This window comes from Homo sapiens, chromosome 4 (genome assembly GCF_000001405.40).
Source record: "Homo sapiens chromosome 4, GRCh38.p14 Primary Assembly".
Taxonomy (NCBI): domain Eukaryota; kingdom Metazoa; phylum Chordata; class Mammalia; order Primates; family Hominidae; genus Homo; species Homo sapiens.
Window position 1 is genome coordinate 105,814,052 of NC_000004.12, and position 13,494 is coordinate 105,827,545.

Genomic DNA, 13,494 nt, shown 5'->3' on the forward strand with positions numbered 1-13,494 from the left:
GAGAAAAAGAGGGAGATTCAAAATTTCAGTTTCGGAAAAAATGCCTTCCCCTGCCCTACCTAGGCCCTAAACCAGTATACCTATTTCAGTAGACTCAGACCTCCCAACTGGTATAGTTTGAGTATAGTCTTGCTATTTTAGATCTGACATCCATTGTTACTTAGGATAAGATATGGTCACCCACATGTCTCCTGTAGTGCAAGCTTTCTCTGCCTAGCCCTTTGTATCTTTCCCTTTTCCTAAACCCTGCTGGCTGGAGCACTGCTAAACACTACTGCTGGCCAGGCGTGGTGGCTCACACCTGTAATCCCAGCACTTTGGGAGGCCGAGGCTGTTGGATCACCTGAGGTCAGGAGTTCGAGACCAGCCTGGCCAACATGGCAAAACCTCGTCTCTACTAAAAATACAAAAATAACCTGGGCGTGATGGTGTGCACCTGTAATCCCAGCTACTCGGAGGCTGAGGCAGGAGAATTGCTTGAACCCTGGAGGCAGAGGTTGCAGTGAGCTGAGATAGTGCCATTACACTCCAGCCTGGTTGACAGAGACTCTGTCTCAAAAAAAATAAATAAATAAAAATAAAAATAAATTAAAAAAATAAATACTACCACTGCTAGGTACCACCCATCAAATTAGACCTATGCGGATATCAATACTTTCCCAGACTGAGTCCTTTTTGAATACTAATTTGGATCACTGTTCCCACCCCATCCATGCCTGTAGCTGGGTTCATTCCCAGAGTCTTTTTCTTTCCACCATCCCTTGCTGCTGAGATCCTAACATTCTTTACAGTTAGGCCTGTAAAGTTAGGATCCTTAGAAAGGGAAAAGGAATGGTAGAACTGGAATGCAAAACTGCCTTTGCGGTTTATACAGACCCTGTGTAACTTGTATGAATAGCCCTGCCTTTGAGTGTTAACTTTTAAGTTTAATAACCATTCTCTATTTTGGTTATTGTCATAGTATTGAGCACTATCTCATGTATAGGTAGGTGCCCTAATAGATGCTATTCAATGATGCTAATTCTTACAAAGCCAATATTATGGTATCTGTCTTATGCTCCATTGCCACATAAATAACCTCTGCAAAGCTTAGTGCCTTTTCATAACAATTATTGATTTTATTCACAGTTCTGCAGTTTGGTTAGGGCTTGATGGGAAAGCTTGTCTGTTCTCCATACAGCATCAGCAGAGGAGGCTTGACATCTTAAAGCATATTTCTGTGTTCCAAGAGCAACCATCTCAAAAGACAAAAATTGGAAGCTGCCAGAAAAGAGCACCATGTTGTTTCTGTATTAGATAGATCAAACAGTCATGAAGCTGAGATTTAATAACAGACATAGATGCCACCTCTAGATGGGAATACCATATTTTAATATAGTATTAATATTGCCAAGAATTTAGGGCCGTGTCACTTTAGATATTCAGCATTTCATTTTTTAAACAAAATAAAATATATGACAAAAAAATCAAAGAAGAAAACCTATAAGGTCAGATCATAGCGGACATTAGAACACCATGTGCACAAAAGAAGTATTTTTTTAAAAAATCACTTGACTCTGGGAAAGTTGGCATCATTTCAGACTACTACAGTGGCATTTAACCTAATTACTGTGAAACATCAATTGGAAGCCAACTGAGGATTACTTGAATGGCCTCAAAAAGTTAACAAAACTATTAAGACACCTTACTGTTGTTAACTTAAGCCTCTGAAAAAGAGGGAAAAGAAGTAAATACCTAACTATTTTCTACAGTTAGCCTTTTTGTTTTAAAAACATTTCAGTTTGGTCTTGTGGGCAACTTAGACAATATTATGGACTTAAAATAACAACAACAAAAACCCAAAATGCCAGAGCAGAGTAATGTTTACTTTGTGTGGTGTAAATGGTATTTGGATGAAATGAAAATATATGTGTTCAATTAACTGTGGATTCTGGTATTCGGAAATTAAATTTTTTTTTTCATCTTAGAGAAAAAAATAGCAGGAATAAGAAGGTTTTACAATTTCCATTATTCACTGTATGTAAGCTCTTCTATAAACAAAGCAGAAGCTTTGACCTGGTAAGAGATGTGATTATACTTTCTTCAACTTTTGTCCCTCAACCCAACATCTTGCCTAAACAGTTTTTAGTTATTGACTTTTTAAAAGAAGCTTTAGAATTAGATATGGAAGGGTGAAAGGTGCATGATATTTTTAGTCAGCATCTGCAGTACTATAACATGAAAGATCTTCCCAATCTATTTTCATTTCTTTCCTTCTGGATAATCCGATTTTGCAACAAATTGATTGCTCAACCTCTCCATGTCACTTTTCAATAAAATCAAAAAGGTTGCTACAGTCCCAAGGTGGGGAAATGGTCTCTTTCTGGAAAGGGTGAGACCCAAAGGTCAGTTCATTAAACAGAGTGACTTAGGAGACCTCTAATGCCTTAGCAATATATTCTAAAATCCTGACATTCGAAACTTAAATTGATCCTTTTCATTGATAAGTCTGCTCTTGAAAATTTTATTTAGAGGAAAAACTGAAGTAAAATACATTTTATGATTGACTCTGAATAATTAAATTTTTCCCTAAGATATAATTACTAGGGAATCACTCATTTCCCTGCTAGAAAGCACCTCATTTCCTTGAACGCACGCATATGAAAAAGACACCAGCATTGAAATTCTGACATCACAATTAATTAAAAGCATCTGTTTAAGACAGACATAACAGATCATATTGAAAAGAAGACTGAACCTGACATTAGAAATCCTACTTTAGAGTCCCAGCTTCACCACTTACCAGTTGCATGTCTTTGAACAAGTGCAAAGTTTGAGCAACCTATTTAGTGATCAGTGTCCTCATTTGTAAAATAAGAAAAATGTCATCTACCCTAACAACCTGACAGAGTTTTGAGGTTAGATGGTGTATCAAATATGCAAGTGCTTAATATATTGTAAAGCATCATATAAGCAGAAAGTATCCATCATTTTAGGAACTTCAATGAAACATATATGGATTTTTGTAAGTTGTGGCTGTTAAAATTTCTTTTAAGAACATTGTACAATGTGATTAATAAAATACATTTTCTAAGCACAAATATAATGTTTTGTACTAATTAAACAAACTATATGCTCATTAAGGATAGAAACTAAGAGTTATATATCTTTACATCTCTAACAGTTTAGAGAACAGTTCTATATAGGCCAAGTTAGTTGTTTGATGTGTTGAATGAATGATTGAGAAAGATACTTATGAGATCATTATTCCTCAATTTGGAAGTATAAATTAGCCTTTTTTAACATTATGAATTCCAATGAATTCTGCTGTCTTTTTAGTTAATTATTTAATTATTGAATACTCTAATAGTATATATAACAAAATTATAAGAGTAAAAATGCCATCACACTGTTAAGCTGTTGATGATTTCATAGACTGAACTGTGGGGTTTGTGAATGGGGGAGAGTATCAGATTATTTGTATCCACTGTTACAAGAAAATTGTCACATTGAGGTCAGTGCAGCTAAGAGGATTAGTGATAGTAGCCTCCAATTGGCTTTAAAAATGTAAAATTAAAATAACTATTCTAGATTTTTAGTGTTTTCAACAAGGTATCACCAAAATTTAAACAAAGTTGCCCTAACCTACAGTGTAAACTTTATGTTGCTGACTAATTTCATGTATTTTCTCAGGAGTTTCTTTAGGAATTCTGTTCTTCCATTCTAGCTTTTGAAGTCTACTTACACAGCTTTAAATGGCTGTTTTGTTATTCTCTCACAAAAGTTTTCAGAAACTTTTCTATCCCTACTTAAAATACTGTTTTATAGTTGACTTCTTTTACTGTTTTGACAAATGCATGCATAGCATCGATATCTAACGCATTTTCACACTTAGTACCTGCAAAAATTAGCATAATGCCTTGAAATGCAGTTTGTCATATTTGCAGAGAAAACTCATTCATTAAACTTTTATTGAGAACCTTTTATGTGCTTATCAGTCTCCTGGTAATCTTTTCATTTAATTGGACCCAAGTTTATGCAGTTCCAGGAAAAAATATTCATATCTATTTCAGGGAGACAGAAGCAATTTCAGCTAACGGTTTTTTGGGGAGTTATTTTAATGAATTATACTTAGGTTTCATTTTATAATAAATCATTTCACTGGTTAACAATAATAGACTTTATAGTATAAAAGATTTGTTATTTTGGGTAGTAACAAAGAGCTTGAAAAAGTAACTTTTTTCTCTTTTGTCTTGAAAAAAATTGTTATTGACAAAAGTAGGAGATGTTTTAAATTCATTCTGGAATAAGGAAAGGTGATGGGATTCCTAAAGTTTTAAAGCAAGGAGATAGGTTTTAAGCAAAGGGAACAAATTATATAAAGGAACTAATTCATAAGGTGTGAGAAATTCAAAGAAATGTCACTTGTGTAGAGAGGCTGGAACAATGGGCAAATATCGAAAGTAGCAGATGAGGTTAGCAAATTAATCAGAGCCCAGATCATTTAAAGGCCTTGCTTTCTTGCCAAGACATCAATATTTTTTTCTTAAGGCAGAGAGGAGCCTATAAAGGTATTTGAGCAAAGGAGAGATACTTTAATGGGTACATTTGGAAGGGACTTTAGTAATATACTGAGGAAAAGCATGCTCAGTGATTAGCTATGGAACAACGAGACAGAATGTGGTGAGCATAGTGCATCAGGGGTATAACAAGGGAAGAGGAGCCTGAGAAGGAGAGTGAGGAGAATTTAATAGGGGTTCAAAAGATTTCTTGATCTAGAACACCAGGGTTCAAAATGGTTTAATGAGTTCAATTGATTCCATTTTATTTTTTAATTAAATCACTTAATGGCAGAGAGCATCAATTGGGGTTCAATGCTCCAGATAATTTTATGGATAATCCTATCTAATTTGAAGATATACTATATCCAGAATAAAAATGATGCAGACTAACATTATAAAAGAACACCTTAGTTGGTAATAATGTAAAATTAACAGTGCTGTCTATTCAGATTGAACTTGTCCCTAAGCAGCTCTAAGTACATTAAATATGAAAGCAAGGCCATGTTTTCGGTAAGACACAGAGAGGCAAACAACAAGCAATGTCATTTCCTATCTGGCACTGTCTGCCTGTATTTTCACGTCAATCTGATGTTCTACTACTTCCCCCATTGATCTCTCATTTTTAGGTGCAAGTGAGTTAATTGTAGTTTTCTCCTAAATATGTCATATTGTTCTTGGTATGCCTTCCCCATCCCCATTCTATCTGGTAAGTTTCTGATCCTCCTTAAATGCCCAAGTCTCTCTAAAGGCCATTCTAATGTCTCAAGACATTTCTATTTTATCTTCAATGCACATACTTTTGCACATAATTAACACACACCTTCTTCTTAAATACCGTTAACTTCTTAAGAACAGAAACTATGTCTTCTTATTCATTTCTGTTGAGATGCGTCCTCTGCATATAGATGAGTATTGGGCATATAAGTAGGTATCTTACTTATTGTTCCAAGCATGAAAACCATAGCAACTGTGGGGATAGAACCTCGGCTTTGCTGTTGATTGCCCTATAAAGCATGATAAATGACCATTCATCAGCTTGTCTTTCTTAATGCTGTTAATCAGACCTCTTTTGAAAACATTAACATTTGTGGTTGTCGTCTTCCCTCTCACCTGTTCAAGGTTCTATTAGTGCCACCTTGTCTATTCAATTGTCTTATACCTTCTTTAAAAGAGTGGTGTATACAACATTGATCTCTGTTGAAAAAATTTGCTTTTGCTCTTGATTTTTTTACCTTTTCGGTGTGTTTTTAAGCTCTAAACATAGTTTTAGCCTTCTTTGTCTCCATATTAAAAAAAAAACACACAGAATACTGTTGGTGTGCTATATCTCAAACAAATGTTTTGAAAACAAAACAGCAAAAGAATATTTAGTAAAGACATCTAATGAGTATCCATGCACTCTTTTATAAGTAAGTTATAACTTGTAAGATACTTGTTATTTTAAGCTAAGAAACAAAAAATTAAGAGCTGCCTGATTTGGGACATAAATTACTACACTGAACATGTGTGCTGGTGGTACATGTACACATTTTCCAGTGATTTTTTTTTTTCATTATTTGATGCTTTGGATGAACCAAAAATGCTGGTGTTTTAACATGGCTTCCCCCTTGCTTAAAAATTGGCTCCTTTACCTCTGTACTTTCTTTTCTGGCAATGCAAACCACACTGAAGTGTCTAATCAAGTACCTCCTAACTGGAATTAGACAAAGAAAAAACTCATTTGCAGAAGAATTGCATTGCAGAACAAATGACATCATTTGTATTAAAATATTCTACACTTAGATTTCTTTTTCCGTGACACTAGAGATCCATCATTTTTAGTCAAGCTAAAAATAGATTGTAATTTTATGCTTGTAAATATTGTCTCAGGCACAAGGATACTGAATAAAAATAGAAAGTAGGATTTGATTTTTAAATTAATACTGTATCCCAAAATACCACTTCTTTACCTTGTTGAATATATTTGAGATCCTGCTCATATTTCCTGGAGCTTCGTAATATTTATAAAACTAGAACGGGGAAAGAGAATGCTTTATTAGAGGCAGCTTTTCCATAAAGCATCTGAGCACCATGCTGCTGTATTTTTAGCTCAATCTCTGTGAATATTATGTGCAGCGTATGGTCTCTCAACTTAAACACAACCCTGAAAAGTACCTCTTTGCTTTCAGCCTTCATTTCTACATGTATTTTTTTATATGCAAAGATGCAGTATTAGCAAGAAAAATAGATCTCTATCAGCATTTGCTTTTGAAACAGACCTAAGGAAGTTAGGTAATTCTAAATTTCTAATAAAAATGTGGTATAGAACTTGATATTAGATATTCCATTTAATAATTTTTTTCCTATCTCCTTATTCTTAACAAAAACATTCCTTTTAACTTTCTTTTATGAAAATTCTTTGACTAAGGAACTGTTAAGAAATCTACAAACAGAGCAAAGACAGAAATGCTCGTGCTCATTCCTTACTTCATGGTGGCTCCATTTAATGGCAGTATTTTTTACTCTAGGTCTCCAAAGAGCCTCAAAGTACTCTTCTTTTTGCCTTCTGACACCTCCTTTCCTCCCCTCTTCTTGTTCTTATTCTTTCTACTGCAAATTAAAACTGCATTGCCATAAAAATATAAGGCATATTTAGATGAATAGAAGGATGGATAGAAGTATGATAAATCAAGTATAGTAAGTTGTTAATGGTAGAATCTAGGTGGAGGGTATAAAGGCATTCACTCTAAGATTCTTTCAGTTTTGCTAGATGCTTGAAAGTTGTCATGACAAAAATCTCTTAGGAGTGGTTACCCATGAAGGGTGGGATTACAGCTTTTACTTCTTCTGTGTTTAAATATTGTACACATATATTATTAGAGAAAAATGAAGATAGTTCTTTTAAAAGCTACATGAATCTGTCATCACAAATGAAGTCATCAGAGTATTGACTTAAATATTCTTCATATTTGAAATTTACATTCATCCATGCTAAATAATTAAGGATGTGACAAAAGAATCAGCTGTGTATGATGCTCACATCATTACAATAGGAAATTGGGTACTTCAATTATAGTGTATATATAGTCAATGGAATACTATGCAGCCATTAAAATATATAGATAGGAAGCAACGCATTGACATGGAAAGATATTTACAATATTTCATATTTTGTAATATAACATTTTATATTTTATACCTAGCTAGAACACATAAAATTTATGAATATAATTGAAAGTAACCATACATGTACATAAAATGTTATCGCTGAATTATGATGCTATAAATTTTTTTATATAGTTTTTTATTTACATTTAAAAATCTTTCCTAAAATAATATTTTCCTGTGCTTTTTAACTTAGTAACATAAGAGAGAAGGAAAACAGAAAAGAGAAGAAAAGAAAAATGTCATGCCATTTTTCTGGGAAAAAGGAGCAAGGAAACCTTAGTATGTTTAATTTTTTATCAAACCAAAAAGATTATCAGGATTTTCCCTTTTATCTATATCATGGAAATCTGGTGTCTTACATTTTCTTAATTTTGCTCTTGTAAAGAATGCACTTGAAATATGTACAAACAAATAATTTCATTCATTCTTCTGAAGATATTTTTATGGATTTGACTAGCAGTTTTGAAAGGAAAGTTAAGATGTTTTTATGTTGTGGGGCCCCAGGCATTTCATACTTGGAAATGCCCTATCCTGAATCTCTAATTGCATTATATTTCTGTCTGACTCATGAGGAAAGGAAGCTTCAAAGCAGAAAACAGAAAATCCAATTTCTCCCTAAATACAGTAACCATTGATATATTTCAGACAATGTAACACCTGTGTTTCAAAGTTTCCCAGTGTCCTACACAGAAGAATCAAGAGTTCAAGGATGTGCCAATTAAACAATAAAAATATTTTTACTTATTATGGATCTCTCTATAAGGAGATTAAGCAATGTGTTGAAATTAGGTACTCTTTACAATATGTCTCTGAAAAAAGATAAAGGGAGAAGACAATTACTGTTATTTTTTCCATTCTGCCAACATTAATTGGACAGTTGGTTTATGACCCTAAACTTAGTGTTTCAGTTATTGTTTCCATGCTTTAAAAGACATATTGTTCCCCATAGATTTCCTTTCAATGGCTATTGAAGGAAATGTTGAATAGACATAAAAGTAAAACAAGCAAAAATAAAGTTCATCTCGGGTTCTAGTCCTCCTAGTCCTCATAGTCTGTTACATGGAATTTATCATTTATTATTTTATATGTATGTATGTATGTGTGTATGCTCCTCCCCCTCCTCCTCCTCTATGCTGGTAGTCTATTTTAAGCGTGTCTTCTTGTTCCCTCAAAATATATAATGTTTTGTGTTCTTCATTTCTTGTCTTTCTCAGGTAAAATGTCCAGTGATCGAGCTTTGAGGAAGCAGCAACAGTTGAACAACCTTGTCTATGTGGTAACAAATCAGGCCAAACCTGGTGACAGAATTGTGGATTTCTGCAGCGGTGGGGTATTTTATCTCTCCTTTCATCCTTTTTAGTCTTTCTAAGATTATGAGACTTTTCTATATTACATTCAAGGTCATGTTTTTATTTGGCAAGATTGTGGTTTCAGAATGAGGAAAAGCTGTGGGGACCAAAGCTAACTTGTTTGTCTTACTGACTTTTTCAGGGCCATGTTGGAATTGTCCTTGCTCACATGCTGCCATCATGTCAGGTAAAGCCAGAATAAGAGATAAAAGGAAATATTTTAAAATTATACAGTTCAGCTAGCCAAATTTGGTTTATCCCGCTCTTGGAGTTTCTAGTCACTCACCCAAGTCAAATATGTGGCACAGGCATTGTCTTTTCTTTGAAATAAACTTTCAAGACTCAGAATCTTAAGGAAAAAAAAGTAAAGTAAGATCATAAAACATTTATCAATTTTTAAAAGAGGTTTATAGGTTTAAGTAATTTTTCAAAGAAGTAGCTATTTTATTGCTAAATAAAATAATTATGATTCAACTAGTTTAATTTTCAATATAATTTTAAATGGAAATATTGACCTCTGAAACTTGCTGAGCATATTCTTTTGGTATCTTGATTTTGATCCATTGCATCAAAATTATAACAATAGCAAAATTTTTTAAAGCAAAAAAAAAAAAAACCCAAAACCTACCATACTGATCCATCAAATGCTTTGCTTTTCTTGTTCTCATTAAGTCACTGTCCATAGGGATGCTAATTGTTGCAAATTTTAAAAATGCAAACACAATGTATCCCTTGCTTTCACTCAATATTGTATCATAAATGTTTTTCCCTATTGCTAATAGTTTTACGTATCATCATATTTCGGAGACTACCAAATATATTTTCAAGTAAATATATCAGAATGTATTCAATCATTGCCACAATTTGTTAGAATTTTGTGCTGATTTTAGTCTTCTGCCATGTTAAATCAGTTCCTCACTGTGACCACTTCTTAGCATAAAATTCTGTTTGTTTTTGTTTTGTTTTTAATACAAACTCAACTGCAACAGAGTCTTTGCTTGTGAGCTCTCTGGAAGGTGTGAACTAGTTATAGTGAATACTTGCGGAAGAAAAAAAAATGTGGAAGAACTAATAGACTGGCCAGAATAACATGTAACAGAATGATGACGAGGGGACAGGGAATAGCATTCTTTTATTTTTCTTTTCTTAGAGAATAAACAGGAAAATAAATAAGGAATCCTGGGAGAAGAGGCAGTTGTTTGTTTTATTATTAAGTAAAGCAATAATTTTGTGATTGAGTAGGAGGAAGAGAGCTCACAGAGTAAAATTCTGAGAAGCAGAGTCAGGGATGTAATATTTTTTCTTCCCTTATTAATATTTCTGGAAGTTTAGAAAGGTTGAAACCAAAAATGAGTAATCTTGTCTAGAATAAAGTCAGGAAAGCCTTTCACACCAAGTATAGTCTAACAGGTTTTTCAAACGGATTTTTTCTTACAGACAAGCATAAGAACAAAATAAGAACTAGGAATGATAGTGATGAAAGTGACTTAATTCTTTTCATTTTTTTCCATTCAAACCATCTTCTCTGCCTAGATTATCACTGGAGTCTCCTAACTGGTTTCTCTGCCCTCTGGCCTTGTTGCCACCAATCCATACCATACATTACAGACTACTAAAACTTCTTTTATCATAATTGCATGATCTGGTTTCAGTTTACCTCTCCAGCCTCATTTTCACCCTTTACACCCTGTCCCCCCATCACTACTATCACCATGACACACATTGTGCCCTGGAAATTGCGTACCAATTTTCTCAGTTCTTCAAACATGCCATATTCTTTCTCATCTTGGGCCTTCATGTGTTTCTCTCCCTAAAATACCCTTCCATTCCCCCCAAACCGATTTGTATTCATTTTTTAGGCCTCAGTTAATATGTTACTTCCCCATGAAAATAGTCATCAAGTTTGAATGCTCCCATTAACATTGTTTGTCTTTCATTTAACGCTTATCACACTGTATTATTATTATTTTTGATGTTTTGTTTTTGGTTTTTTTGTTTGCTTGGTTGGTTGATTGGTTGGTTGGTTGGTTGGTTGGTTGGTTGGTTTGTTTGTTTGTTTGAGACAGATTCTCCCTGCGATGCCCAGGCTGGAGTACAGTGGTGCGATCTCAGCTCACTATAACCTCTGCTTCCTGGGTTCAAGGGATTCTCCTGCCTCTGCCTCCCGAATAACTGGGACTACAGATGCACACTACTATGCCCGGCTAATTTTTGTATTTTTAGTAGAGACGGGGTTTCACCATATTGGCCAGGCTAATCTCGAGTTCCTGACCTCAAGTGATCCGCTTGCCTCGGCCTCCCAAAGTGTTGGGATTACAGGCGTGAGCCACCACGCCCGGCCCACGCTGTATTATTATTGCTTGTTTCACTTATATCACTATGCTTCAAAGCTATATCACTATAGTTCAAAGACCTTTCATTTTTCCTTTCTGTACCAGATTATGTGACATACTTCCTGCCACAGAATAGAGGCTCAATATAATACGTTCTACATTATTAAAGCTATGAAATATAGTGATAATGCTTTGCCTAATGTCTGAATTATGTTACTAAATATACTATTGTTTTCTGGGTAAAATCTAGGTTACATTAATAGAAAACAAGGAATTATCATTAATTCGTGCTAAGAAGAGAAGTGATGAACTGGGTTTAAGCAACATTTGGTTCATTCAAGCAAATATGGAATATTTTACTGGGATGTTTAATATTGGAGTAAGTAATCAAGTAATTTCAATTTCTTTAATTAGCTAAATAAGAAAAATTACATGCCTTAGAGTAAATAAAAAAGATAATTTTGTGTTCTTTGCCAAACAAATTTATAATTTTGTATACTTATATTATCTATGAAATATAGCATATTAATGAATATTATTATATTCATAGCACTTCATCATTACATAACAGAGATAACATTGGCTCCTCTATCAGACCAGAACTTTATTTTCTTCACTACAGAATCCCCAGTAGCAAGTGCTGAAAACTGGTTAATAATTGAATAATTGATTCTGATGAACATGACTTGCCTTGGTTTATTCTGCATTTTTAGAAGACAATGAAGGAAAAGAAAAAAGAAGAAAAGAAAATAACTTGTTAGTAATCTCTAAATACAAGCATTGCCTTGTGATTTTTTTTAGCTAAGATTTTATATTTACATGTATTTTCAGGTTCCAAGAGAGAAAGTATATTGATCATGTTTCTAAACCTTTGGATCAAATTGTTATTATTTGATATTATGAAAAATCCCTAAGATATGTAATTCTGCCTGATCATTAAACCCCAGGGTTTTATTATTTTTTGTAGACTTTGAGTTTTATGAACATGTTAGTGTTGCTGCTATTTCTTATATTTGCTTTAAATAATTTTTTTTCTGATTTTGATAGGAATATACATTTTGATAGTAATACAGAAAAATACATAGTAATATAAAGAAGAAATAACCTATATGCCTACTATCAAGTGATAAATACTATCAAAAATCTTTAGTTTTTTATATTTATGCACGCATATAAATGCATATTTTACACATATGTGAACATTGTTAAGACCATACTACATAGATCCTGCATTGACTGAATACTGTTAAAAATCTTTTACCTACTTTTTAATCATACTTTTTTTTCTCATTGTTATAATGCAATTATTACTATGATGGATATTTTATGCATCCTTTAAGAATTTTGATGCATTTGCCAAACCACTTTCCAGGAAGGTTCTTACTGACATCCTTTCTAATTACATATGTTCATATAAACATGTGGTTGTCTAGGTAGAACTTTTATCAACTTAACTAATTCAGACCTTTTATAGTATTTCTGATTTTTACCCAGTGAAATTTATTTCTTAAATATTGACTACTGCAAATTTGGGGGTTTATTGTAATTTTTTTCCAACCTAAAAAATATGCTATTCGTTTCCTTTGCAGACACGATCTACAGTTTACTTCTCTTTTTATAAGCCTGGCTGTTAATAAGGAAATTCAGGAAAATGTAGACATGTAATCTAGAAAATTCAAATTAAAAAATACCTGTGCAGCTTTAACTTTACATAAATGTTGAGGTAAAGTTTAGCGCTTCTCCCATGAAACAAGCCATTAAACCAGTCCAGATATTACCAGTACACCAGACAGAATGGTAGCAAGTAAATGTGGACTGCTACCCATTTATTTACCTCACAAAGCATGGAATTTCCAGCCTATGTCTGTTCCATCCGTCTCTTGGCCCTTCATGACTTATAGATGCTAAATCACTCTAGCATATTCTTGTAACTTCCAAGTGTATAATTTACTAATGCCAACTAAAAATGTATATATCTCTTTGGAAGTGAAATTTTTCTCTACATTTTGTAATACATCTATAATGACTTTTTTTCCTTTCATAATTACCCTTGTCAAGGTGTATAGAAAATGGATTAAAATTGCTTAGAAGGTTAAATTAAAAGTAGATTCACTCTGAAGAGAA

At 33.5% G+C, this 13,494-nt stretch overlaps 1 protein-coding gene and 1 long non-coding RNA gene across 9 annotated transcripts in view; one reads left to right on the top strand and one right to left on the bottom strand.

The window, feature by feature from the left end:
• GSTCD (glutathione S-transferase C-terminal domain containing) overlaps positions 1 to 13,494 on the top strand; it is a 138,942-nt gene that overhangs the window by 105,268 nt on the left and 20,180 nt on the right. For all 8 annotated transcript variants that reach the window (XR_938771.2, XM_011532252.4, XM_047416179.1 and 5 more), the window contains exons 6-8: positions 8,903 to 9,018; positions 9,180 to 9,224; positions 11,621 to 11,749. Coding sequence is in view for 7 of the 8 variants with exons in the window: in XM_011532252.4 (XP_011530554.1) it covers positions 8,903 to 9,018; positions 9,180 to 9,224; positions 11,621 to 11,749 (290 nt within the window). In the remaining variant the exon portion in view is untranslated. The remainder of the gene's footprint in view (positions 1 to 8,902; positions 9,019 to 9,179; positions 9,225 to 11,620; positions 11,750 to 13,494) is intronic.
• GSTCD-AS1 (GSTCD antisense RNA 1) lies at positions 1,094 to 13,121 on the bottom strand. Its single transcript, NR_125927.1, has 4 exons — positions 13,062 to 13,121; positions 9,324 to 9,386; positions 6,491 to 6,550; positions 1,094 to 1,260 (listed from the first exon to the last, which is right to left on the bottom strand). It is a non-coding gene; the product is annotated as a GSTCD antisense RNA 1 (long non-coding RNA).